This window comes from Homo sapiens, chromosome 6 (genome assembly GCF_000001405.40).
Source record: "Homo sapiens chromosome 6, GRCh38.p14 Primary Assembly".
Taxonomy (NCBI): Eukaryota; Metazoa; Chordata; class Mammalia; order Primates; family Hominidae; genus Homo; species Homo sapiens.
The window spans coordinates 76,094,127-76,122,084 of record NC_000006.12 but is presented as its reverse complement, the minus strand read 5'-3'; the positions used below and the strand labels follow the sequence as shown (position 1 = coordinate 76,122,084).

The window sequence follows — 27,958 nt, the reverse complement described above, 5'->3', positions numbered from 1 at the left end:
GGTACTTGCCTCTAAACAATCCTAGGCTAAGAGATTAATGCTATTGTTACAGAGTTAATATAATATAAATACAAACAAAAATAAAGAAACTGGACATTTTAGTTAGCTTCCCAGCCTCATTACAGGGAAAGGTATGATTTTCATCAGGCATACTAAAATACAGAAAGTTCAAGGACCACACTTACCATCTTACAGACTCCTAGGGACCTCTAGTTCAGAATCACCAAACAGGTATGAATGCTCAACTGCTTTTCTCTAAGCCTTTCTCAATGTGTGTTCGTTTCAAAAGAGGATACTTTTTAAACTCAACAAGCCTTTGTTGGGTACTTAATATGTGCAGATAACTGACTTAATTGCAGTCTAGACTTTGAAACATTGGCCAGTATCAGACAGACGCAGACGAAGGGAAATGGTCATTCAGACAAGGCTGGCATCTGACCCAGACTTGTAAAGGACACTGCAGAGGATCAAAGGATGAACCAATGAGGACTTCAGTAAGACCAGGACAAAGAGGATTGTTGGAGCTGTTTCTAAATAATAGTGCTGCTGAATTCTTGTGCACAAGAGAGTGGAGTAAATCTGTTTCCGTAATTAAGTTAACTTTTCAGTAAGATATATATGGTTTGCTATATAATGTGAATTCTGTCAATTTATACAAAAATATCTGTTCAGGCCGGGCGTTGTAGCTCACGCCTGTAATCCCAGCACTTCGGGAGGCAAAGGCGGGCGGATCACAAGGTCAGGAGTTCAAGACCAGCCTGGCCAACATAGTGAAACCCTGTCTCTACTAAAAATGCAAAAGTTAGCCAGGTGTAGTGGCACGTACCTGTAGTCCCAGCTACTTGGGAGGCTAAGGCAGGAGAATCGCTTGAACCCGGGAGGCAGAGGTTCCAGTGAGCCGAGACCATGCCATTACACTTCACCCTGGGTGACAGAGTAAGACTCTGTCTCAAAAAAAAAAAAAAGTCTATTCAAAGCACCCTCTTTCACCCTAGCCCCTGCTGTAAAGTGTCAAAATGAATATTTGAACCAGGTATATCCTAATTAACAATAGTAATTAAGATTCTGTGGTCTTGAAGGGGCAAATCAGGCAATTCCCATTATCCAATTCTTCTTGTTAAGGCCTCCTGGCTAGATGTGTTACACTGCTTTTGTGAAAGCAGCCATTTCAGTCCTTTGTGTAGTAGTACAGATGCCCAAATGTTTGTTCTGCTTTCTTTGTTAACCTCGAGACTCTTCCACAATTTTATTCTCTATTCTTCAAAAGTCCTGTTCATGTGGGAACTCATCAGCCCAGATTCCCTCTTGCTTTCCAGCAGGACCCTTTGGAGGACTATGGTATCCTTTCTCACCAGCAGGTCAAGGCTACCTGGCCCACCACACTAGTGTCCTCCAGATCAGTATCATGGAAAACAAGGGCTATGATTCTCCTTTCTCCTCTTGAAGGCTTTGGCCTTCTTATACACAGTGATCTAACTTCTAACCATTAAAGAGCTCTGCTTAGAGGAGGTCTTGGGGGAATACTTCTTACCCCTCTCCTAGGACAATGGGGATCTATTTGCCATTTATTTGCATAACTAAGAAGCCATCCAAATCACTCTCCATTCCAAAGGTCTTATTAAGGTGACTGTGGCCTAAACCTCTGGAAGGCACTTCATTCACTCACTCAAATATATCTTGAGTCCCTACAGAGGCTAGTATGCATTTCAAATGTTTACTTCACACCCTACCACCCACTCAGCTCACCTAGTCTCTAAAAGGCACTGATTTGCATATTCATTTTCCCTTTGAATTTGACATCACCATGTATTTTCTGCCAATACACTTGATTTTCTTTCCTTTGTGCTCAGTGAATTATGCTTCAAAAGAAAAGCAATCAAAGGCAGTGGTTAAGAGAATAGACTCCGTATCACCACTTCCTCAGTTTTTTCCAGCCCTGGCACTTATTAGTGTGAATTTGGGTAAATTATGCACCTCTGGGTCCCTCGTTTTCTCATTTATAAGATGGGAAAAGTAATAGCTCCCATTGACCTCCTGCAGCTGTTGTGAGGATTGAAGAAGTGGATTTGTTAAGGCGCTTCTTAGAAACACAGAAGAGTTCCTGGCATATTACATAACCACTACATAAGTGTCAGCTATTATTATGCAAACTCCACTGTTAACATGTTTCACTTCTCAGTTGTCCCTCACTGGTCCCTTAGTCTTGACCTTCCCCAGTGGCCTAAGCCTGTGGGGCTCAAAACCATCATACTCAACACCCTCTTTATTAATAATTTCCCTCTTTAAATAAAATCCATAGGTGACAAAACCTACCTATGTACAGAATTGCAAAATAATTTATATAATGCCTTAACTATAATAAGTGAAATATATTACAAATTGTTAAACAAAAAAAAAGGTATTTCACAACATAAATAATTGGGCAGGCTACAAACTTTAAAGTTTTGGAGGCCTGGATAAAAAAGCATGACGAAGTAATCAGCCCTGTAAAGGCAATAGCCAAAAACACACTAATGCAGGCATATTGTGTTGGTAACTCAAGCACTATGAGTGGCAATGCTGCTAATTGGTTTTCTGTAATAGAAAATGTCAAGCCAAACAGAGTTCCATCTTTCCTCAACTTACTCACTAGTTGTATTGGTAGAAAATTCAGGGTATAGTAAAAACGTAAAAAAATTTCTTGGTGATTATATGTAAAACAGAATTGAGTTCCAGTCTCAGATAATGATAAAGAATATTACACCTATATGAATTTGAGGGTAACAGCCAAAAGCAGTACAATATGGGGGACAATTCTTCAGTGGGTCCATTAACTCCTCCATGTCTCTCTCAGTCATTTGATAACTAAAATAATCAAAAAAATTTCCAAAATAGCTTTTGGGGATGATATTATCTCACTAAGAACCACTGGTTTCTTGAATGTGGGGTTGGGGAGAGGGAAGATATGTGTTGGGACACAGAAGGGATGATGCCAACAGTATTAGTTCAATAATTGAAAGAGATCTAGTGGCAGGACTGTCCTCAAAATTGAACAGTCAAAATATCCTTCAGCAAGTATCTATTGCATTTATAATGAAAATATTAAGAAATAAAGGATCATTCTCAAAATCAAGTATGATCAGCAAAACCCAGATTCTGGGAAAATGTCTGAATACAAAAGTATCTTCATGGGGGGCAGTTCCAAGATGGCCGAATAGGAACAGCTCCAGTCTACAGCTCCCAGCATAAGCGACGCAGAAGACAGGTGATTTCTGCATTTCCAACTGAGGTACCGGGTTCATCTCACTGGGGCTTGTCAGACAGTGGGTGCGGGACAGTGGATGCAGCCCATCAAGCATGAGCTGAAGCAGGGCAAGACATCACCTCACCCAGGAAGCAGAAGGGGTCAGGGAATTCCCTTTCCTAGCCAAAGGAAGCAGTGATGGACAGCACCTGGAAAATCGGGTCACTCCCACCCTAATACTGCACTTTGCCAGTGGTCTTAGCAAACATCACACCAGGAGATTATATCCCGTGCCTGGCTCAGAGGGTCCCACGCCCATGGAGCATCACTCATTGCTAGCACAGCAGTCTGAGATCCATCTGCAAGGCAGCAGCAAGGCTGGTGGAGGGGCGCCCACCATTGCTGAGGCTTGAGTAGGTAAACAAACTGGCCAGAAAGCTAGAACTGGGTGGAGCCCACCGCAGCTCAAGGAGGCCTGCCTGCCTCTGTAGACTCCACCTCTGGGGGCAGGGCATAGCTGAACAAAAGGCAGCAGAAACATCTGCAGACTTAAATGTCCCTGTCTGACAGCTTTGAAGAGAGCAGTGGTTCTCCCAGCACAGAGTTTGAGATCTGAGAATGGACAGTCTGCCCCCTCAAGTGAGTCCCTAACCCCCAAGTAGCCTAACTGGGAGGCACCCTCCAGTAGGGGCAGACTGACAGCTCACACGCCCGGGTACCCCTGTGAGATGAAGCGTCCAGGGGAACGATCCAGCAGCAACAATTGCTGTTCAGCAATATTCGCTGTTCTGCAGCCTCTGCTGCTGATACTCGGGCAAACAGGGTCTGGAGTGGACCTCCAGCAAACTCCAACAGACCTGCAGCTGAGGGTCCTGACTGTTAGAAGGAAAACTAACAAACAGAAAGGATATCCACACCAAAACCATCTGTACGTCACCATCATCAAAGACCAAAGGTACATAAAACCACAAAGATAGGGAAAAAACAGAGCAGAAAAGCTGAAAATTCTAAAAATCAGAGCACCTCTCCCACTCCAAAGGAAAGCAGCTCCTCGCCAGCAACGGAACAAAGATGTATGGAGAATGACTTCGACAAGTTGAGAGAAGAAGGCTTCAGACGATCAAACTTCTACAAGCTAAAGGAGGAAGTTTGAACCCATCCAAAAGAAGCTAAAAACCTTGAAAAAAGATGAGATGAATGGCTAACTAGAATAACCAATGTAGAGAAGTCCTTAAATGACCTGATGAAGCTGAAAACCAAGGCACGAGAACTACATGATGCATGCACAAGCTTCAGTAGCCAATTTCATCAAGTGGAAGAACTGGAAGAAAGGGTATCAGTGATTGAAGATCAAATGAATGAAATGAAGCAAGAAGAGAAGTTTAGAGAAAAAAGAGTAAAAGGAAATGAACAAAGCCTCCAAGAAATCTGGGATTATGTGAAAAGACCAAATCTACATCAGATTGGTGTACCTGAAAGTGACGGGAAGAATGGAACCAAGTTGGAAAACATTCTGCAGGATATTATCCAGGAGAACTTCCCCAGCCTAGCAAGGCAGGCCAACATTCAAATGCAGGAAATACAGAGAATGCCACAAAGATACTCCTCAAGAAGAGCAACTCCTAGACACATAATTGTCAGATTCACCAAAGTTGAAATGAGGGAAAAAATGTTAAGGGCAGCCAGAGAGAAAAGTCGGGTTACCCACAAAGGGAAGCCCATCAGACTAACAGCTGATCTCTTGGCAGAAACTCTACAAGCCAGAAGAGAGTGGGGGCCAATATTCAACATTCTTAAAGAAAAGAATTTTCAACCCAGAATTTCATATCCAGCCAAACTAAGCTTCATAAGTGAAGGAGAAATAAAATCCTTTACAGACAAGCAAATGCTGAGAGGTTTTGTCACCACCAGACCTGCCCTACAAGAGCACTTGAAGGAAGCATTATACATGGGAAAGAACAACCGGTACCAGTCACTGCAAAAACATGACAAATTGTAAAGACCATCGATGCTAGGAAGAAACTGAGTCAATTAACAGGCAAAATAACCACCTAACATCATAATGACAGGATCAAATTCACACATAACAATATTAACCTTAAATGTAAATGGACTAAATACTCCAATTAAAAGACACAGACTGGCAAATTGGATAAAGAGTCAAGACCCAGCAGTGTGCTATATTCAGGAAACCCATCTCATGTGCAGACACACATAGGCTCAAATAAAGGGATGGAGGAAGATCTACCAAGCAAATGGAAAACAAAAAAAGGCAGGGGTTGCAATCCTAGTCTCGGATAAAACAGACTTTAAACCAACAAAGATCAAAAGAGACAAAGAAGGCCATTACATAATGGTAAAGGGATCAATTCAACAAGAAGAGCTAACTATCCTAAATATACATGCACCCAATACAGGAGCACCCAGATTCATAAAGCAAGTCCTTAGTGACCTACAAAGAGACTTAGACTCCCACACAATAATAATGGGAGACTTTAAAACCCCACTGTCAACATTAGACAGATCAATGAGACAGAAAGTTAACAAGGATATCCAGGAATTGAACTCAGCTCTGCACCAAGTGGACCTAATAGACATCTACAGAACCCTCCACCCCAAATCTTCTCAGCACCACATCACACTTATTCCAAAATTGACCATATAGTTGGAAGTAAAGCATTCCTCAGCAAATGTAAAAGAAGAGAAATTATAACAAACTGTCTCTCAGACCACAGTGCAATCAAACTAGAACTCAGGATTAAGAAACTCACTCAAAACCACTCAACTACATGGAAACAGAACAACCTGCTCCTGAATGACTACTGGGTACATAATGAAATGAAGGCAGAAATAAAGATGTTCTTTGAAACCAACGAGAATAAAGACACAACATACGAGAATCTCTGGGACACATTCAAAGCAGTGTGTAGAAGGAAATTTATAGCACTAAATGCCCACAAAAGAAAGCAGGAAAGACCTAAAATTGACACCCTCACATCAAAATTAAAAGAACTAGAGAAGCAAGAGCAAACACATTCAAAAGCTAGCAGAAGGCAAGAAATAACTAAGATCAGAGCAAAACTGAAGGAGATAGAGACACAAAAAACCCTTCAAAAAATCAGTGAATCCAGGAGCTGGTTTTTTGAAAAGATCAACAAAATTGATAGACCACTAGCAAGATTAATAAAGAAGAAAAGAGAGAAGAATCAAATAGACACAATAAAAAATGATAAAGGGAATATCACCACTGATCCCACAGAAATACAAACTACCATCAGAGAATACTATAAACACCTCTACGCAAATAAACTAGAAAATCTAGAAGAAATGGATAAATTCCTCGACATATTCAGCCTCCCAAGACTAAACCAGCAAGAAGTTGAATCCCTGAGTAGACCAATAACAGGCTCTGAAATTGAGGCAATATGTAATAGCCTACCAACCAAAAAAAGTCCAGGACCAGACCAATTCACAGCCGAATTCTACCAGAGGTACTAGGAGGAGCTGGTACCATTCCTTCTGAAACTATTCCAATCAATAGAAAAAGAGGGAATCCTCCCTAACTCATTTTATGAGGCCAGCATTATCCTGATACCAAAGCCTGACAGAGACACAACAAAAAAAACAGAATTTTAGACCAATATCCCTGATGAACATTGATGCAAAAATCCTCAATAAAATACTGGCAAACTGAATCCAGCAGCACATCAAAAAGCTTATCCACCATGATCAAGTGGGCTTCATCCCTGGGATGCAAGGCTGGTTCAATATACACAAATCAATAAACGTAATCCAGCATATAAACTGAACCAAAGACAAAAACCACATGATTATCTCAATAGATGCAGAAAAGGCCTTTGACAAAATTCAACAACCCTTCATGCTAAAAAACTGTCAATAAAATAAGTATTGCTGGGACGTATCTCAAAACAATAAGAGCTATTTATGACACACCCATAGCCAATATCATACTGAATGGGCAAAAACAGGAAGCATTCCCTTTGAAAACTGGCACAAGACAGGGATGCCCTCTCTCACCACTCCTATTCAACATAGTGTTGGAAGTTCTGGCCAGGGCAATCAGGCAGGAGAAAGAAATAAAGGGTATTCAATTAGGAAAAGAGGAAGTCAAATTGTCCCTGTTTGCAGATGACATGATTGTATATTTAGAAAACCCCATCGTCTCAGCCCAAAATCTCCTTAAGCTGATAAGCAACTTCAGCAAAGTCTCAGGATACAAAATCAATGTGCAAAAATCACAAGCATTCTTTTACACCAATAGCAGACAAACAGAGAGCCAAATCATGAGTGAATTCCCATTCACAATTGCTTCAAAGAGAATAAAATACCTAGGAATCCAACTTACAAGGGATGTGAAGGACCTCTTCAAGGAGAGCTACAAACCACTGCTGAACAAAATAAAAGAGGATACAAACAAATGGAAGAACATTCCATGCTTATGGATAGGAAAATCAATATTGTAAAAATGGCCGTACTGCCCAAGGTAATTTATAGATTCAATGTCATCCCCATCAAGCTACCAATGACTTTCTTCACAGAATTGGAAAAAACTACTTTAAAGTTCATACGGAACTAAAAAAGAGCCCACATTTCCAAGACTATCCTAAGCCAAAAGAACAAAACTGGAGACATCACTGTATCTGAGTTCAAACTATACTACAATGCTACAGTAACCAAAACAGCATGGTACTGGTACCAAAATGGAGATATAGACCAATGGAACAGAACAGAGCCCTCAGAAATAATACCACACATCTGCAACCATCTGATCTTTGACAAACCTGACAAAAATAGGAAATGCGGAAAGGTGCTGGAGAGGATGTGGAGAAATAGGAACACTTTTACACTGTTAGTGGGACTGTAACTAGTTCAACCATTGTGGAAGACAGTGTGGCAATTCCTCAAGGATCTAGAACTAGAAATACCATTTGACCCAGCCATCCCATTATTGGGTATATACCCAAAGGATTATAAATCATGCTGCTATAAAGACACATGCACATGTATGTTTATTGTGGCACTATTCACAATAGCAAGACTTGGAACCAACCCAAATGTCCATCAATGATAGACTGGATTAAGAAAATGTGGCACATATACACCATGGAATACTATGCAGCCATAGAAAAGGATGTGTTCATGTCCTTTCTAGGGACATGAATGAAGCTGGTAACTATCATTCTCAGCAAACTATCACAAGGACAAAAAAACCAAACAGCACATGTTCTCACTCATAGGTGGGAATTAAACAATAAGAACACTTGGACACAGGATGGAGAACATCACACACTGGGGCCTGACATAGGGTGAGGGGATGGGTGAGAGATAGCATTAGGAGATATACCTAATGTAAATGAAGAGTTAATGGGTGCAGCACACCAACATGGCGCATGTATACATAGGTAACAAACCTGCACGTTATGCACAAGTACCCTAGAACTTGAAGTATATATTTTTTAAAAAATCTTCACATATCAAATTGTAAGAAAAAGAGAGAGGAGATGAGGAGAGAGATTATAGATTAAAAGAGATGTAGATGATATATTATTCAGTTGGAATGAGTGGCTCTTATAAATAAGAACACTATTTATTTGGTGATACTAAATAATTGTTAATTTTTTGTAATATTAGATTTCTGGTTTTTTAAAATAAGCCCATATCTCCTAGAAATACAAATGACAATATTTATAGATGAAAACATATAGGATTTTCTTGAAAATTGTATGGGGTTGGGGAAATCAAGTTGGAGATATAGCTGAAACCAGATTGGCCATGAGTTCCATTTTATTTCTGGCTATGTTTTACATATTCCACAGTATTTAAATGAAAAGAAAATTATTAAGATGTGGCTGTAGAGAAAGAAGAACTAAGAAGGATCACAGTTCGATGACATTCTAATTAATGCTATACTTTATAGGGGGGAAAACTATAGAAGAGTAAAAAGAATCATCCACAATTTCATCACAGCATCAGTTCTATTGTGATTTGGGGAATTTAGCAATAATCGACACAGATTGCTAGAAAGATATATGAGTACCTTGGCAATTACATTTGTATAAATCTGGCCACCCAGCAGCTTACTCCCTTTGAATGGCATTCTTAGCCTAGGACCATCTTATTTCCTTGGTTTTGCCATTAACAGAGAATTCCGTCACCCAGTTCCTAGTTTATCTGAATCCTGGCTGCAGAATGTTATCTTCCTCTAGTGTACATTTCATGCAAGGTATTAGGGGTGTGTAAGAGTGAGACTTCAAGAACAGGTGGTATAACTGTGTTTGTGCCACTTGCTATTTAATATTTATAAACACATATAATCTGGTGTCAGACTTGCTTACCCTATAACTCATCTACTGGATATGAAGGTGGAATTGAGAGAGACTTACAGCCCTCACCTATATCCAAATAATAATAGGTCTTCCATCTACCAGTAAAAATCTACTCATTGTCCACTGCCAACTTGGCTTAGATAATTCTGTAACAGATGTGTTCTTGACATTTCCAATTAAATATAAAATGTTTTTTCCTGCAGAATCCACAAATTCCTTACGTATTTTAACATACATGCAGTTACATACATACATACCAGAGTCTGCAAACTACTGCTTAGAGGTCAAATATGGCTTGCCGCCTGTTTTTGTACAGCCAGTGAGCTAAAATTGTTTCTACAGTTTTAAATAGTCGAAAAATTAAAAGAATATTTTGTGACATGTGAAAATTATATAAAATTTTAATTGCATAAGTAAATATATTGGAATACAGTTATACTCATTTGTTCATGCACTGTCTATGGCTGCTTTCACACTGCAATATGAGATGGACACTGTATGATATTCAAAGCCCAAAATACTTACTATCTGGCCCTTCACAGAAAAAGTTGGTCACCCCTGGTGTATATCATAGGTGTTCTTAAACCTATAAAAAACAAATACCATCATATTATCAACTGATATCTAAGTTCCAAATAGCTAACTTAAGAAATATCAGAATTATGGGCCATCTGTAAGTTGGGAAAAGACTTTAAGAGGGATCTAGTACTTTCATTTTTAAAGTAAGATAAATGTTTATCACTCATGCATAAAATTTAATAACCTTTGCTAGCCTTTGGATTGAGGCCAGGGCACAGCATCTGACTAAACACACCATAAACAAGGAATAGAAATGCCTTGCTCATAAGCAAAAGACAAAAATTAAAAATTAATGGGGAGGAGCCAAGATGGCCGAATAGGAACAGCTCCAGTCTACAGCTCCCAGCGTGAGCGACGCAGAAGATGGGTGATTTCTGCATTTCCATCTGAGGTACCGGGTTCATCGCACTAGGGAGTGCCAGACAGTGGGCGCAGGTCAGTGGGTGCGTGCACCATGCGCGAGCCGAAGCAGGGCCAGGCATTGCCTCACTTGGGAAGCACAAGGGGTCAGGGAGTTCCCTTTCTGAGTCAAAGAAAGGGGTGATGGACGGCACCTGGAAAATCGGGTCACTCCCACCCCAATACTGCGCTTTTCCGACGGGCTTAAAAAATGGCGCACCACGAGATTATAACCCGCACCTGGCTCGGAGGGTCCTACACCCACGGAGTCTCACTGATTGCTAGCACAGCAGTCTGAGATCAAACTGCAAGGCGGCATCGAAGCTGGGGGAGGGGCTCCCGCCATTGCCCAGGCTTGATTAGGTAAACAAAGCAGCTGGGAAGCTCGAACTGGGTGGAGCCCACAACATCTCAAGGAGGCCTGCCTGTCTCTGTGGGCTCCACCTCTGGGGGCAGGGCACAGACAAACAAAAAGACAGCAGTAACCTCTGCAGACTTAAATGTCCCTGTCGACAGCTTTGAAGAGAGCAGTGGTTCTCCCAGCATGCAGCTGGAGATCTGAGAACAGGCAGACTGCCTCCTCAAGTGGGTCCCTGACCTCTGACCCCTGAGCAGCCTAACTGGGAGGCACCCCCCAGCAGAGGCACACTGACATCTCACACGGCAGGGTATTCCAACAGACCTGCAGCTGAGGGTCCTCTCTGTTAGAAGGAAAACTAACAAACAGAAAGGACATCCACACCAAAAACCCATCTGTACATCACCATCATCAAAGACCAAAAGTAGATAAAACCACAAAGATGGGGAAAAAACAGAACTGAAAAACTGGAAACTCTAAAAAGCAGAGCGCCTCTCCGCCTCCAAAGGAATGCAGTTCCTCACCAGCAACGGAACAAAGCTGGATGGAGAATGACTTTGAAGAGCTGAGAGAAGAAGGCTTCACACCATCCAATTACTCTGAGCTACGGGAGGACATTCAAACCAAAGGCAAAGAAGTTGAAAACTTTGAAAAAAATTTAGAAGAATGTATAACCAGAATAACCAATACAGATAAGTGCTTAAAGGAGCTGATGGAGCTGAAAACCAAGGCTCGAGAACTACGTGAAGAATGCAGAAGCCTCAGGAGCCAATGCGATCAACTGGAAGAAAGGGTATCAACGATGGAAGATGAAATGAATGAAATGAAGTGAGAAGGGAAGTTTAGAGAAAAAAGAATAAAAAGAAATGAGCAAAGCCTCCAAGAAGTATGGGACTATGTGAAAAGACCAAATCTACGTCTGATTGGTGTACCTGAAAGTGATGGGGAGAAAGGAACCAAGTTGGAAAACACTCTGCAAGATATTATCCAGGAGAACTTCCCCAATCTAGCAAGGCAGGCCAACGTTCAGATTCAGGAGATACAGAGAACGCCACAAAGATACTCCTCGAGAAGAGCAACTCCAAGACACATAATTGTCAGATTCACCAAAGTTGAAATGAAGGAAAAAATGTTAAGGGCAGCCAGAGAGAAAGGTCGGGTTACCCTCAAAGGGAAGCCCATCAGACTAACAGTGGATCTCTCGGCAGAAACCCTACAAGCCAGAAGAGAGTGGGGGCCAATATTCAACAATCTTAAAGAAAAGAATTTTCAACCCAGAATTTCATATCTAGCCAAACTAAGCTTCATAACTGAAGGAGAAATAAAATCCTTTACAGACAAGCAAATGCTGAGAGATTTTGTCACCACCAGGCCTGCCTTACAAGAGCTCCTGAAGGAAGCACTAAACATGGAAAGGAACAACCGATACCAGCCGCTGCAAAATCATGCCAAAATGTAAAGACCATCGAGACTAGGAAGAAACTGCATCAACTAACAAGCAAAATAACCAGCTAACATCATAATGACAGGATCAAATTAACACATAACAATATTAACCTTAAATGTAAATGGACTAAATGCTCCAATTAAAAGACACAGACTGGCAAATTGGATAAAGAGTCAAGACCCATCAGTGTGCTGTATTCAGGAAACCCATCTCATGTGCAGAGACACACATAGGCTCAAAATAAAAGGATGGAGGAAGATCTACCAAGCAAATGGAAAACAAAAAAAGGCAGGGGTTGCAATCCTAGTCTCTGATAAAACAGACTTTAAACCAACAAAGATCAAAAGAGACAAAGAAGGCCATTACATAATGGTAAAGGGATCAATTCAACAAGAAGAGCTAACTATCCTAAATATATATGCACCCAATACAGGAGCACCAAGATTCATAAAGCAAGTCCTGAGTGACCTACAAAGAGACTTAGACTCCCACACATTAATAATGGGAGACTTTAACACCCCACTGTCAACATTAGACAGATCAATGAGACAGAAAGTCAACAAGGATACCCAGGAATTGAACTCAGCTCTGCACCAAGCAGACCTAATAGACATCTACAGAACTCTCCACCCCAAATCAACAGAATATACATTTTTTTCAGCACCACACCACACCTATTCCAAAATTGACCACATACTTGGAAGTAAAGCTCTCCTCAGCAAATGTAAAAGAACAGAAATTATAACAAACTATCTCTCAGACCACAGTGCAATGAAACTAGAACTCAGGATTAAGAATCTCACTCAAAACCGCTCAACTACATGGAAACTGAACAACCTCCTCCTGAATGACTACTGGGTACATAACGAAATGAAGGCAGAAATAAAGATGTTCTTTGAAACCAATGAGAAGAAAGACACAACATACCAGAATCTCTGGGACACATTCAAAGCAGTGTGTAGAGGGAAATTTATAGCACTAAATGCCCACAAGAGAAAGCAGGAAAGATCCAAAATTGACACCTCCACATCAAAATTAAAAGAACTAGAAAAGCAAGAGCGAACACATTCAAAAGCTAGCAGAAGGCAAGAAAGAACTAAAATCAGAGCAGAACTGAAGGAAATAGAGACACAAAAAACCCTTCAAAAAATTAATGAATCCAGGAGCTGGTTTTTTGAAAGGATCAACAAAATTGATAGACCGCTAGCAAGACTAATAAAGAAAAAAAGAGAGAAGAATCAAATAGATGCAATAAAAAATGATAAAGGGGATATCACCACCGATCCCACAGAAATACAAACTACCATCAGAGAATACTACAAACAACTCTACACAAATAAACTAGAAATTCTAGAAGAAATGGATAAATTCCTCGACACATACACTATCCCAAGACTAAACCAGGAAGAAGTTGAATCTCTGAATAGACCAATAACAGGAGCTGAAATTGTGGCAATAATCAATAGCTTACCAACCAAAAAGAGTCCAGGACCAGATGGATTCACAGCCGAATTCTACCAGAGGTACAAGGAGGAACTGGTACCATTCCTTCTGAAACTATTCCAATCAATAGAAAAAGAAGGAATCCTCCCTAACTCATTTTATGAGGCCAGCATCATTCTGATACCAAAGCCAGGCAGAGACACAACAAAAAAAGAGAATTTTAGACCAATATCCTTGATGAACATTGATGCAAAAATCCTCAATAAAATACTGGCAAACCAAATCCAGCAGCACATCAAAAAGCTTATCCACCATGATCAAGTGGGCTTCATCCCTGGGATGCAAGGCTGGTTCAATATATGCAAATCAGTAAATGTAATCCAGCATATAAACAGAACCAAAGACAAAAACCACATGATTATCTCAATAGATGCAGAAAAAGCTTTTGACAAAATTCAACAACTCTTCATGCTAAAAACTGTCAATAAATTAGGTATTGATGGGACGTATTTCAAAATAATAAGAGCTATCTATGACAAACCCACAGCCAATATCATACTGAATGGGCAAAAACTGAAGCATTCCCTTTGAAAACTGGCACAAGACAGAGATGCCCTCTCTCACCACTCCTATTCAACATAGTGTTGGAAGTTCTGGCCAGGACAATTAGGCAGGAGAAGGAAATGGGCATTCAATTAGGAAAAGAGGAAGTCAAATTGTCCCTGTTTGCAGATGACATGATTGTATATCTAGAAAACCCCATTGTCTCAGCCCAAAATCTCCTTAAGCTGATAAGCAACTTCAGCAAAATCTCAGGATACAAAATCAATGTACAAAAATCACAAGCATTCTTATACACCAACAACAGACAAACAGAGAGCCAAATCATGAGTGAACTCCCATTCACAATTGCTTCAAAGAGAATAAAATACCTAGGAATCCAACTGACAAGGGATGTGAAGGACCTCTTCAAGGAGAACTACAAACCACTGCTCAAGGAAATAAAAGAGGATACAAACAAATGGAAGAACATTCCATGCTCATGGGTAGGAAGAATCAATATCGTGAAAATGGCCATACTGCCCAAAGTAATTTACAAATTCAATGCCATCCCCATCAAGCTACCAATGACTTTCTTCACAGAATTGGAAAAAAACAGCTTTAAAGTTCATATGAAACCAAAAAAGAGCCCGCATCGCCAAGTCAATCCTAAGCCAAAAGAACAAAGCTGGAGGCATCACACTACCTGACTTCAAACGATACTACAAGGCTACAGTAACCAAAACATCATGGTACTGTTACCAAAACAGAGATATAGATCAATGGAACAGAACAGAGCCCTCAGAAATAATGCCGCATATCTACAACTATCTGACCTTTGACAAACCTGAAAAAAACAAGCAATGGGGAAAGGATTCCCTATTTAATAAATGGTGCTGGGAAAACTGGATAGCCATATGGAGAAAGCTGAAACTGGATCCCTTCCTTACACCTTATACAAAAATCAATTCAAGATGGTTTGAAGACTTAAACGTTAGACCTAAAACCATAAAAACCCTAGAAGAAAACCTAGGCATTACCATTCAGGACATAGGCATGGGCAAGGACTTCATGTCTAAAACACCAAAAGCAATGGCAACAAAAGACAAAATTGACAAATGGGATCTAATTAAACTAAAGAGCTTCTGCACAGCAAAAAAAACTACCATCAGAGTGAACAGGAAACGTACAAAATGGGAGAAAATTTTCGCAACCTACTCATCTGACAAAGGGCTAATATCCAGCATCTACAATGAACTCAAACAAATTTACAAGAAAAAAACAAACAACCCCATCAAAAAGTGGGCAAAGGATATGAACAAACACTTCCAAAAGAAGACATTTATGCAGCTGAAAAACACATGAAAAAATGCTCATCATCACTGGCCATCAGAGAAATGCAAATCAAAACCACAATGAGATACCATCTCACACCAGTTAGAATGGCAATCATTAAAAAGTCAGGAAACAACAGGTGCTGGAGAGGATATGGAGAAATACGAACACTTTTACACTGTTGGTGGGACTGTAAACTAGTTCAACCATTGTGGAAGTCAGTGTGGCGATTCCTCAGGGATCTAGAACTAGAAATACCATTTGACCCAGCAATCCCATTACTGGGTATATACCCAAAGGACTATAAATCATGCTGCTGTAAAGACACATGCACACGTATGTTTATTGCAGCATTATTCACAATAGCAAAGACTTGGAACCAACCCAAATGTCCATCAATGATAGACTGGATTAAGAAAATGTGGCACATATACACCATGGAATACTATGCAGCCATAAAAAATGATGAGTTCATGTTCTTTGTAGGGACATGGATGAAATTGGAAATCATCATTCTCAGTAAACTATCACAAGAACAAAAAACCAAACACCGCATATTCTCACTCATAGGTGGGAATTGAACAATGTGATCACATGGACACAGGAAGGGGAATATCACACTCTGCGGACTGTTGTGGGTTGGGGGGAGGGGGGAGGGAAAGCATTGGGAGATATACCTAATGCTAGATGATGAGTTAGTGGGTGCAGCGCACCAGCATGGCACATGTATACATATGTAACTAACCTGCACAATGTGCACATGTACCCTAAAACTTAAAGTATAATAAAAAAAAAGAGAGAGAGACAAAGAGAGAAAAAAAAAATTAAAAATTAAAAAATTGAAAACCTCGAATAAGGTTGTCACTACCATGCTGCCTCAATTTGAAATCCATTTCTATCTTTTTCTCTCTTTTTTAATCCTACAGATATATAAAAATGTTTTGTATTTAGCATCTGTGTATATTTCATGGTTTTTAATATACCTGAAAGTTGAATGCATTAAGAGGATAATTATAGCATGTTGAGTTCACAGTAATAAACCAATGATAAATTTTTGATGAAGTTTTTGGGGCAAGAGCAGCCAGTTTAAGTGTGCATGCCACTGCCTCCTGTCTAAGTCATTCTGGACTGATTTCTCAACAAATAGGCCAAGAACTGCCAGAGCAGTTACTTTAAAACAAGAGAAGCAGGTACATTTTAATATACTAACCTACAGATTTATCTGGATTCTGTGTCTCTTCTATTTAACCTCAATAAGAGTCTCTCCAAGTTAAACAACCTGTCAAAACAGTAGCTGAGGAAGAAGTTTCCAGCTCATTAGAGCTGTGCTCATCATGATCTTATCTCCTGGAAAAATGAAAAGTTAAGCAGGGCAATTCAGATTCACATTTTAAAAATCCAGACAGGGACATTTTTAAATTTATCTATTTATTCTTCATCGGCAAAGGCCACGTTGAGCATTTTTGGACCACTCTGAAATAGTGTTGTTAAAAGTGTATGTATTCCCACATGAAAACATCTCTTCATTTTCAAGATACAGCAATCTATATTTATGAGACACTCACAACCAATGAAGAAGAAATTCAGTATGTAATATTAACATATGGAAATATCTGTGGATAAACTCAGACTGGAAGAAAAACCAAGGCTATTTGCTGATGTGATTTTCAAACGCATGCTTAAGGAATTATGAAAGAATTTAGTCAAAGCTTTTATTTAACCTTACACAGGGCCATGATGCTACATGCTTAATAAAAACTAAATGCTGAATGTATTACTGAGTAATATTATAGATTCCAGTAGGGGTGTGGCAGGCACACCGCTATGTGTTCTAAACTATCAGTGAGTGATTCATCCTTTGTTTCCTGGGGGAAATGAGGAGACCATGCAACCCTGGGGAAACTAGCCTTGACAGTCTTCTCAGCTCTACTCTTTCTATGTACTCAGAATGAGCATCAGGAGGCCATCTTGCCTTTACTTGGAACCCATGGGGACAGCCAGCAAGTCTCTCAGTCTCCCTTGGTAGTCCTGGTACAAGCCACTCTGCATGGCAATTCTGCATGGATCTGCATTTTTAAAACTATTCACTCCCTAACTCTTAAGACATGACTAGAATTCTGTCCTTGTTTTGCCTGATGTTTCTAATGGCCTCCTCTGATAGGAAGAAGAAAAACAGTGTTAAGAGTGTAGCTCTAAGATCCACAATGTTCAATCCAGACCCTGGCTCCCTAGCTTACCAGCTATGCGACCTGAGCTAGTCGCTTGTTTCCTGATCTGAACATGGAGAAAACTATAATTATCTGCATCAAGGGGCTGTCGTGAGGATAAATCAATAGTTCTCAATCCAACACACTCTCTGTTACAAATATTTATTCACTTCCTCTTAAACATCTTGAAATGAAATTCATATATAATGCTACCAACCAAGACACTTTAATGTAATAACTGTAATATAAAGAAGAAATGAAAAGTAATTTATAGAAAAATAATGTGTGTTTCAATAAGTAAATGCTTAGACATGATTATTCTAGAAAATTCAATAATGGCTACCTGAACACTCAAGTGTGCCCCAGTGTCTATTGTTCCCTTCCTTGTGTCCTAGTATCCTCAATGTTTAGCTTCCACTTGAAAGTGAAGAAGTGGTATTTGATTTTCTGTCCCTGCATTAAGTCACTTTGAATAATGGCCTAAAGTTCCATCCACGTGGCTGCAAAGGGCATGATTTCATTTTTTAGAGTGAAACTATTCCATGTTGTATATATACCACATTTCTTCATCAAGCTCACCACTGATGGGCGTCTAAGTTGATTCCTTGTCTTTGCTATTGTGCATAGTGCTATGATTAACATATAGGTGCATGTGTGTCTTTATTATTATTATTATTATACTTTAAGTTCTGAGATACGTGTGCAGAACATGCAGGTTTGTTACATAGGTATGTACATGTCATGGTGGTTTTGCTGCACCCATCAACTGGTCATCTATATGAAGTACTTCTCCTAATGCTATCCTTCCCCTAGCCCCCCACCCCCTGACAGGCTCCAGAGTGTGATATTCCCCACATTGTGTCCATGTGGTCTCATTGTTCAAATCCCACTTGTGAGTGGGAAGAGGCGGTGTTTGGTTTTCTGCTCCTGTGTTAGTTTGCTGAGAATGATGGTTTCCAGTTTCATCCATGTCCCTGCAAAGGACATGAACTCATCCTTTTTTATGGCTGCATAGTATTGTGTGGTGAATATGTGCCACATTTTCTTTATCCAGTCTATCATTGGTGGGCATTTGGATTGGTTCCAAGTATTTGCTATTGTAAATAGTGCTACAATAAACATACACGTGCATGTGTCTTTATGATAGAATGATTTATAATCCTTTGGGTATATACCCAGTAATGGGATTGCTGGGTCAAATGATATTTCTGGTCCAGATCCTTAAGGAATCACCACACTGTCTTCCACAATGGTTGAACAAATTTACACTCCCACCAACAGTGTAAAAGCATTCCTATTTCTCCACATCCTCTCTGGCATCTGTTGTTTCCTGACTTTTTAATGATTGCCATTGTAACTGCTGTAAGGTGGTATCTCATTGTGGTTTTGATTTGCATTTCTCTAATGACCTATGATGATGAGCATTTTTTCATATGTTGGTTGGCCACATAAATGTCTTTTTTTGAGAAGTGTCCATTCATTTCCTTTTTCCACTTTTTGATGAGGTTGTTTTTTTTTTTCTTGTAAATTTGTCTGAGTTCCTTGTAGATTCCGGATACTAGCCCTTTGTCAGATGGATAGATTGCAAGAATTTTCTCCCATTCTGTAGGTTGCAAGTTCACTCTGATAGTTTCTTTTACTGTGCAGAAGCTCTTAGTTTAATTAGATCCCATTTGCCAATTTTGGCTTTTGTTGCCATTGCTTTTGGCATTTTAGTCATGAAGCCTTTGGCCATACCTATGTCCTGAATGGTATTGCCTAGGTTTTCTTCTAGGGCTTTTATGGCTTTAGGTCTTAGTTTAAGTCTCTAATCCATCTTGAGTTGATTTTTGTATTAGGTGTAAGGAAGGGGTCCAGTTTCAGCTTTCTGCATATGGCTAGATAGTTTTCCCAACACCGTTTATTAAATAGGGAATCCTTTCCCCATTACTTGTTTTTGTCAGGTTTATCAAAGATCAGATTGTTGTAGATGTGTGGTGTTATTTCTGAGGTTTCAATTCTGTTCCATTGGTCTGTATATCTGCTTTGGCACCAGTACCATGATGTTTTGGTTACTCTAGCCTTGTATAGTTTGAAGTCAGGTAATGTGATGCCACCAGCTTTGTTCTTTTTGCTTAGGATTATCTTGGCTATACGGGCTCTTTTTTGCTCCCATATGAAATTTAAAGTAGTTTTTCCTGATTCTGTGAAGAAAGTCAATGGTAGCTTGATTGGGGATAGCACTGAATCTATAAATTACTTTGGGCAGGATGGCCATTTTCACAATATTAATTCTTCCTACCCATGAGCATGGGATGTTTTCCCATTGATTGTGTCCTCTCTTACTTCCTTGAGCAATGGTTTGTACCTCTCTTTGAAGAGGTCCTTCACATCCCTTATAAGTTGGATTCCTAGGTATTTTATTCTCTTTGTAGTAATTGTAAGTGGGAGTTCACTCATGATTTGGCTCTCTATCATTGGTTATAGGAATGCTTGTGATATTTGCACATTGATTTTGTATCCTGAGACTTAGCTGAAGTTGCTTATCAGCTAAAGGAGATTTTGGGCTGAGACCATGGGATTTTCTAAATATACAATCACATCATCTGCAAACAGAGACGATTTGACTTCCTCTCTTTCTATTTGAATGCCCTTTATTTCTTTCTCTTGCCTGATTGCCCTGGCCAGAACTTCCAACACTATGTTGAATGGGAGTGATGAGAGGAGGCATCCTTGTCTTGTGCCAGTTTTCAAAGGTAATGCTTCCAGCTTTTCCCCATTCAGTATGATATAGGCTGTGGGTTTGTCATAAATAGCTCTTATTATTTTGAGATACGTTCCATCGATACCTAGTTTATTGAGAGTTTTTAGCATGAAGGGCTGTTGAATTTTGTCAAAGGCCTTTTCTGCATCTATTGAGATAATCATGTGGTTTTTGTCTTTGGTTCTGTTTATGTGATGGATTACATTTTTCGATTTGCATATGTTGAACCAGCCTTGCATCCCAGGGATGAAGCTGACTTGATCATGATGGATAAGTTTTTTGATGCGCTGCTGGATTAGATTTGCCAGTATTTTATTGAGGACTATTGCATCAATGTTCATCAGGGATATTGGCCTGAAATTTTCTTTTTTTTTTTTGTTGTGTCTCTGCCAGGTTTTGGTATCAGGGTGATGCTGGCCTCATAAAATGAGTTAGGGAGGAGTCCTTCTTTTTCTACTGTTTGGAATAGTTTCAGAAGGAATGGTACCAGCTCCTCTTTGTACCTCTGGTAGAATTTGGTTGTGAATCCCTCTGTTCCTGGGCTTTTTTTTTTTTTTTTTTTGGTTGGTTGGTAGGTTATTAATTACTGCCTCAATTTCAGAACTTGTTATTGGTCTATTCAGGGATTTGACTTCTTCCTGGTTTAATCATGGGAGGGTGTATGTGTCCAGGAATGTATCCATTTCTTCTAGATTTTCTAGTTCACTTGCATAGAGGTGTTTATAGTATTCTCTGATGGTAGTTTGATTTTTGTGGGATCAGTGGAAATATCCCCTTTATAATTTTTTATTGTGTCTATTTGATTCTTCTCTCTTTTCTTCTTGATTAGTCTGGCTAGCATTCTATTTTGTTAATCTTAAAAAAAAAAACTAGCTCGTAGATTCATTGATTTTCTGAAGAGTTTTTGTGTCTCTCTTTTCAGTTCTGCAGTGATCTTAGTTATTTCTTGTCTTCTGCTAGTTTTTGAATTTGTTTGCTCTTGCTTCTCTAGTTTTTTTAATTGTGATATTAAGGTTCAATTTTAGATATTTCCCACTTTCTCCTGTGGACATTTAGTGCTATGATTTTCCCTCTAAACAGTGCTTTAGCTGTGTCCCAGAGATTCTGCTATATTGTCTCTTTGTTCTCATTGGTTTCAAAGAACTTATTTATTCTGCCTTCATTTTGTTATTTACCCAGTCATTCAGAGCAGGTTGTTCAGTTTCCATGTAGTTGTGCTGTTTTGAGTGAATTTCTTAATCTTGAGTTCTAATTTGATTGCACTGTGGTCTGAGAGACAGTTTCTTCTTATTTCTATTATTTTGCATTTGCTGAGGAGTGTTTTACTTCCGATTATGTGGTCAATTTTAGAATAAGTGTGATGTGGTGTTGAGAAGAATGTATCTTCTGTTGATTTGGGGTGGAGAGTTCTATAGATGTCTATTAGGTCCTCCTGGTCCAGAGCTGTGTTCAAGTCCTGAATATCCTTGTTAATATTCTGTCTCGTTGATCTGTCTAATATTGACAGTGGGGTGTTAAAGTCTCCCACTATTATTGTGTGGGAGTCTTAAGTCTCTTTGTAGGTCTCTAAAAACTTGCTTTATGAATCTGGGTGCTCCTGTATTCAGTGCATATATATTTAAGATAGCTCTTTTTGTTGCATTGATCCCTTTACCATTATGTAATGCCCTTCTTTTTCTTTTTTGATCTTTGTCGGTTTAAAGTTTGTTTTATCAGAGACTAGGATTGCAACCCCTGCTTGGTTTTGCTTTCCATTTAGCCCATTTACATTTAAGGTTAATATTGGTATGTGTGAATTTGATCCTGTAATTATGATGCTAGCTGGTTATTTTGCCCATTAGTTGATGCAGCTTCTTCATAGTGTCGATGGTCTTTGGAATTTGGTACGTTTTTGCAGTGGCTGGTACCAGTTGCTCCTTTTGATGATTAGCTCTTGTAAGGCAGGCCTGGGGGTGACAAAATCTCTTGGCATTTGCTTGTCTGTAAGGGATTTTATTTCTCCTTCACTTGTGAAGCTTAGTTTGGCTGGATATGAAATTCTGGGTTGAAAATTCTTTTCTTTAAGAATGTTGAATGTTGGGCCCCACTCTCTTCTGGCATGTAGGGTTTCTGCAGAGAGATCAGCTGTTAGTCTGATGGGCTCCCTTTTGTGGGTAACCCAACCTTTCTATCTGGCTGCTCTTAATATTTTTTCCTTCATTTCAACCTTGGTGAATCTGATGATTATGTGTCTTGGGGTTGCTCTTTTCAAAGAGTATCTTTGTGGTGTTCTCTGTATTTCCTGAATTTGAATGTTGGCCTGTCTTGCTAGGTTGGGGTAGTTCTCCTGGATAATATTCTGAAGAGTATTTTCCAACTTGGTTCCATTCTCCCCGTCACTTTCACATACACCAATCAAACATAGGTTTGGTCTTTTCACATAGTCCCATATTTCTTATAGGCTTTGTTCATTCCTTTTCATTCTTTTTCTGTAATCTTGTCTTTATGCTTTATTTCATTAAGTTGATCTTCAATCCATGCTATCCTTTATTCTGCTTGATCGATTCAGCTATTGATACTTGTGTATTCTTCATGAAGTTCTCGTGCTGTGTTTTTCAGCTCCATCAGGTCATTTATGTTCTTCTCCAAACTGGTTATTCTAGTTAGAAATTCCTCTAACCTTGTTTCAAGGTTCTTAACTTCCTTGCATTGGGTTAGAACATGCTTCTTTAGCTCAAAGGAGTTTGTTATTATCCACCTTCTGAAGCCTACTTCTGTCAATTCATCAAACTCTTTCTCCATGTAGTTTTGTTCCCTTGCAGAGAGGAGTTGTGATCCTTTGGAAGAGAAGAGACATTCTGTTCTTTGGAATTTTCAGTCTTTTCATGCTGGTTTTTCCTCATCTTCATGGATTTATGTACCTTTTGTCTTTGATGGTGACCTTCAAATGGGGTTTCTGTGTGGACATCCTTTTTGTTGATGTTGATGCTATTCCTTTCTGTTTGTTAATTTTACTTCTACCAGTCAGGCCCCTCTGCTGCAGGTCTGCTGGAGTCTGCTGGAGGTCCACTGCAGACCCTGTTTGCCTGGGTATCACCAGCGAAGGCTGCAGAACAGCAAAAATTGCTGCCTGTTCCTTCCTCTGGAAGCTTCATCCCAGAGAGGCACCCACAAGATGCCAGCCAGAGCTCTCCTGTAAGAGATGTCTGTCGACTCCTGCTAGGAGGTGTCTCCCAGTCAGGAGGCACTGGGGTCAGGGACCCACTTGAGGAGGCAGTCGGTCCCTTAACAGAGTTCGAGTGCTGTGCTAGGAGATCTGCTGCTCTTTTCAGAGCCAGCAGGCAGGAATGTTTGATTCTGCTGAAGCTGCACCCACAGCCATCCCTTTCCCAGGTGCTCTGTCCCAGGGAGATGGGAATTTTATCTATAAGCCCCTGACTGGGGTTGCTGCCTTTCTTTCAGAACTGCCCTTCCCAGAGACTAGGAATCTAGAGAGGCTGTCTTGCTACAGTGGCTTTACTGAGCTGCAGTGGGCTCTGCCCAGTTCAAACTTCCTGGTGGCTTTGTTTACACTGTAAGGGGAAAACCACCTACTTAAGCCTCAGTAATGGCAGATGCACCTCCCCCTAACAAGCTCAAGCATCCCAGGTAGACTTCAGACTGCTGTACTGGCAGCGAGAATTTCAAGCCAGTGGATCTGAGCTTGCTGGTCTCCATGGGGGTGGGATTCACTGAGCTAGACCACTTTGATCCCTGGCTTCAACCCCCTTTCCAGGGGAGTAAATGGTTCTATCTTGCTGGCATTCCAGGTGCCACTGGGGTATGAATAAAAACTCTTGCAGCTAGCTCAGTGTCTGCCCAAATGGCCTCCCAGTTTTGTGCTTGAAATCCAGGGCCCTGGTGGCATAGGCACCCAAGGGAATCTCTTGGTCTGTGAGTTGAGAAGACCATGGGAAAAGCATAGTATCTGGCCCAGAGTGCACCGTTCCTCTGCATGTGTCTTTATGGTAAAACAATTTATATTCTTTTTGTTATATACCCAGTAATGGGATTGTTAGGTCAAATGATACTTCCATTTTAAGTTATTTGAACAATCTCAAAACTGCTTTCAACAGTGGCTGAACTAATTTACATTCCCACCCACAGTATATAAGCATTCCACTTTCTCCACAACTTCACCAACATCTGTTATTTTTAAAATTTTTAGTAATAGCCATTCTGATTACCATGAGATGCTATCTCATTGTGGTTTTGATTTGCATTTCTCTGATGATTTGTAATGTGGAGCATTTTTTCATATGTTTGTTGGCCACATGTATGTCTTTTTTAAAAAAGTGTCTGTTCATGTCCTTCGCCCATTTTAAAACAAGGTTGTTTGTTTTTTGCTTGTTGATTCAAGTTCATTATAGATTCTGGATACTAGACCTTTGTTGGTTGCATAGTTTGCAAATATTTTCTCCTATTCTGTAGGTTCCCTGTTTACTGTATTGATTGTTTCTTTTTCTGTGCAGTTTTTTATTTTAAGTAAGCCCCACTTGTCAATTTTTGTTTTGTTGCATTTGCTTTTAGAGTCTTCATTACAAAATCTTTGCCAAGGCTGATATTGAGGATGGTATTTTCTAGGTTTTCTCCTGGAATTTTTATAGTTTTAGGTTTTTCCACTTAAGTCTTTCATTTGTCTTGACTTCTGTATATAGTACAAAGGAATAAGTCCAGTTTCAATCTTCTGCATATGGCTAGCCAGTTATCCTAGCATCATTTATTGAATAAGGAGTCTTTTCCCCATTGCTTGTTATTGTCAGCTTTGTTGAAGATCAGATGGTTATAGGTGTGTGGCTTTACTTCTGGTTTCTGTATTCTGTTCCATTTGTCTATGTGTCTGTTTTTGTATTAGTACCATGCTGTTTTGGCCACTGTAGCCTTGTAGTATAGTTTGAAGTCAGCTAATGTGATGCCTCTGGTTTTGTTCTTTTTCTTAGGATTGTTTTGGCTATTTGGGCTCTTTTTTGGTTCCATATGAATTTTAGAAATTTTTTTTCAAATTCTGTGAATAGTGTAATTGGTAGTTAGATAGAAATAGTATTGAATCTGTAAGTTGCTTTGGGAAGTATAGCCATTTTAATGATACTGATTTTTCCAATTCATTAGCATAAAATGTTTTTTCATTTGTTTGTGTCAGCTCTGATTTCTTTTAGCAGCATTTTGTAGTTCTGTTTGTAGACATCTTTCACCTCCCTGGTTAGCTGTATTCTTAGGTATTTTATTCTTTTTGTGGCTACTATAAATGGGGTTTTGTTCTTTATTTGGCTCTCATTGGCAGCACTGGTGTATTAAAATACTACTGATTTTTCAACATTGATTTTGTATTCAAAAACTTTGCTAAAGTTGTTTATCCAATATAGGAACCTTTGGGAGAAGACTATGGGGTTTTCTAGGTACAAGATCATATCATCTGTGAAGAGAAATAGTTTTACTTCCTCTCTTTCTATTTGGATGTCTTTTATTTCTTTCTCTTGCTGATTGCTCTTGTTAGCACTTCCAAAACTATGTTGAATAGGAGTGGCAAGAGTGGGAATCCTTGTCTTGTTCCAGTTGTCAAAAGAAATAAATGCTTCCAGCTTTTGCCTATTCAGTATGATGTTGGTTGTGGGTTTGTCATAGATGGCTCATATCATTTTGAGGTATAGTCCCTTAATGCCCAGTTTCTTCAGGGTTTTTAATGTGAAGAGATGTTAAATTTCACTGAAAGCCTTTGCTGTGTCTATTGAGATTATCTTCTTTTTTTTTTTTAGCTCTGTTTATGTGATGAATCACATTTGTTGATTTGCATATGTTAAACCAACCTCATATCCCAGGAATAAAGCCTATTTGATCATCGTAGTTTAACTTTTTGATGTGCTGCCAGGTTTGGTTTGCTAGTACTTTGTTGATAATTTTTGCATCTATGTTCATCAGGGATATTTGCTGTCATTTTCTTTTTTTGTTTTGTCACTTCCAGGTTTTAGTATCAGAATGATGCTGGCTTCATAGAATGAGTTAGGGAGGAGTCCTTTCTCTTCAATTTTTTGGAATAGTTTTAGTAGGATTGGTACCAGCTCTTCTTTATATGTCTAATAGAATTTAACTGTGAATCTGTCTGGTTGATGGGCTTTGTCTGTTTGAAAAATTACTATTACTGATTAAATTTGGGAGCTCATTATTGGTCTGTTTAGGGTTTTGATTTCTTCCTGGTTCGATCTTGGAAGACTGTATGTTTCCAGGAATTTATTCATAATCTTCTAGGTTTTCTAGTTTGTGTGCATAGACGTGTTTGTAATAGATGGGTTTTCTTTTTTGTATTTCTGTGGGGTTGGGGGTAGTGTTCCTTTTGTCATTTCTGATTGGGTTTATATTGATCTTCTCTTTTTTTCCTTTATCAGTCCATCCAGCAGCCTATTAATTTTAGTTAGTCTTTCACAGAACTAACTTTTGGTTTCATTGATTTTCTTGTATGGTTTTTCTCATCTCCATTTCATTCAGTTCAGCTCTGATTTTGGTTATTTCTTGTCTTCTGCTAGCTGTAGGATTGCTTTGCTCTTGTTTTTCTATTTCCTCTAGGTATGTTAATTTGAGCTCTTTCCAACTTTTTGATGTGGGTGTTTAGCACTATAAACGTTCCTCTTAATACTGCTTTAGCCATGACTCAGAGATTCTGGTATGTTGTATCTTTGTTTTCATTAGTTTCAAAGAATCTCTTACTTTCTGCCTGTATTAGGCAATTTTCATGCCGATGATAAAGACATACCCAAGACTGGGCAATTTACAAAAAAAGAGGTTTAATTGGACTTACAGTTCCATGTGGCTGGGGAAGTCTCACAATCATGGCAAAAGGCAAGGAGGACCAAGTGCCATCTTATATGGATTGCAGCAGGCAAAGAGAGAATGAGGAAGATGCAAAAGTGGAAATCCTGATAAAACCATCAGATCTCATGAGACTTATTCACTACTATGAGAGCAGTATGGGGAGGAAACCGCCCCCATGATTCAATTATCTCCCACAAGGTCCCTCCCACAACACATAGGAATTATGGGGGTAAAATTCATGATGAGATTTAGGTAGGGACAGAGATCCAAACCATATCACTATCTTAATCTCATTGTTTACCCAAATGTCATTCAGGAGCAGATCATTTGACTTCTTTGTAATTATATGGCTTTGAGAGATCTTCTTGGTATTGGTTTCCATTTTTATTGTGCTGCAATCTAAGAGTGTGGTGGCTATGATTTTGGTTTTTTGCATTTGATGAGAGTCGTTTTATGGCTGACTGTGTGGTCAATTTTAGTGTATGTGCCATGTGCAGATGAGAAGAATGTATATT

General features: G+C 39.4%; 4 annotated features.

The window, feature by feature from the left end:
• Positions 1,075–1,703: an enhancer, noted in NCBI's record as "OCT4-NANOG hESC enhancer chr6:76830099-76830727 (GRCh37/hg19 assembly coordinates)". NCBI's record gives its function as "activates a minimal SCP1, AML or CMV promoter by ChIP-STARR-seq in naive H9 embryonic stem cells {active_cell/tissue: H9 hESC(naive)}" and the evidence as "EXISTENCE:reporter gene assay evidence [ECO:0000049][PMID:30033119]".
• Positions 1,704–2,333: an enhancer, noted in NCBI's record as "OCT4-NANOG hESC enhancer chr6:76829469-76830098 (GRCh37/hg19 assembly coordinates)". NCBI's record gives its function as "activates a minimal SCP1, AML or CMV promoter by ChIP-STARR-seq in naive H9 embryonic stem cells {active_cell/tissue: H9 hESC(naive)}" and the evidence as "EXISTENCE:reporter gene assay evidence [ECO:0000049][PMID:30033119]".
• Positions 10,281–10,819: an enhancer, noted in NCBI's record as "NANOG-H3K4me1 hESC enhancer chr6:76820983-76821521 (GRCh37/hg19 assembly coordinates)". NCBI's record gives its function as "activates a minimal SCP1, AML or CMV promoter by ChIP-STARR-seq in naive H9 embryonic stem cells {active_cell/tissue: H9 hESC(naive)}" and the evidence as "EXISTENCE:reporter gene assay evidence [ECO:0000049][PMID:30033119]".
• Positions 10,820–11,360: an enhancer, noted in NCBI's record as "NANOG-H3K4me1 hESC enhancer chr6:76820442-76820982 (GRCh37/hg19 assembly coordinates)". NCBI's record gives its function as "activates a minimal SCP1, AML or CMV promoter by ChIP-STARR-seq in naive H9 embryonic stem cells {active_cell/tissue: H9 hESC(naive)}" and the evidence as "EXISTENCE:reporter gene assay evidence [ECO:0000049][PMID:30033119]".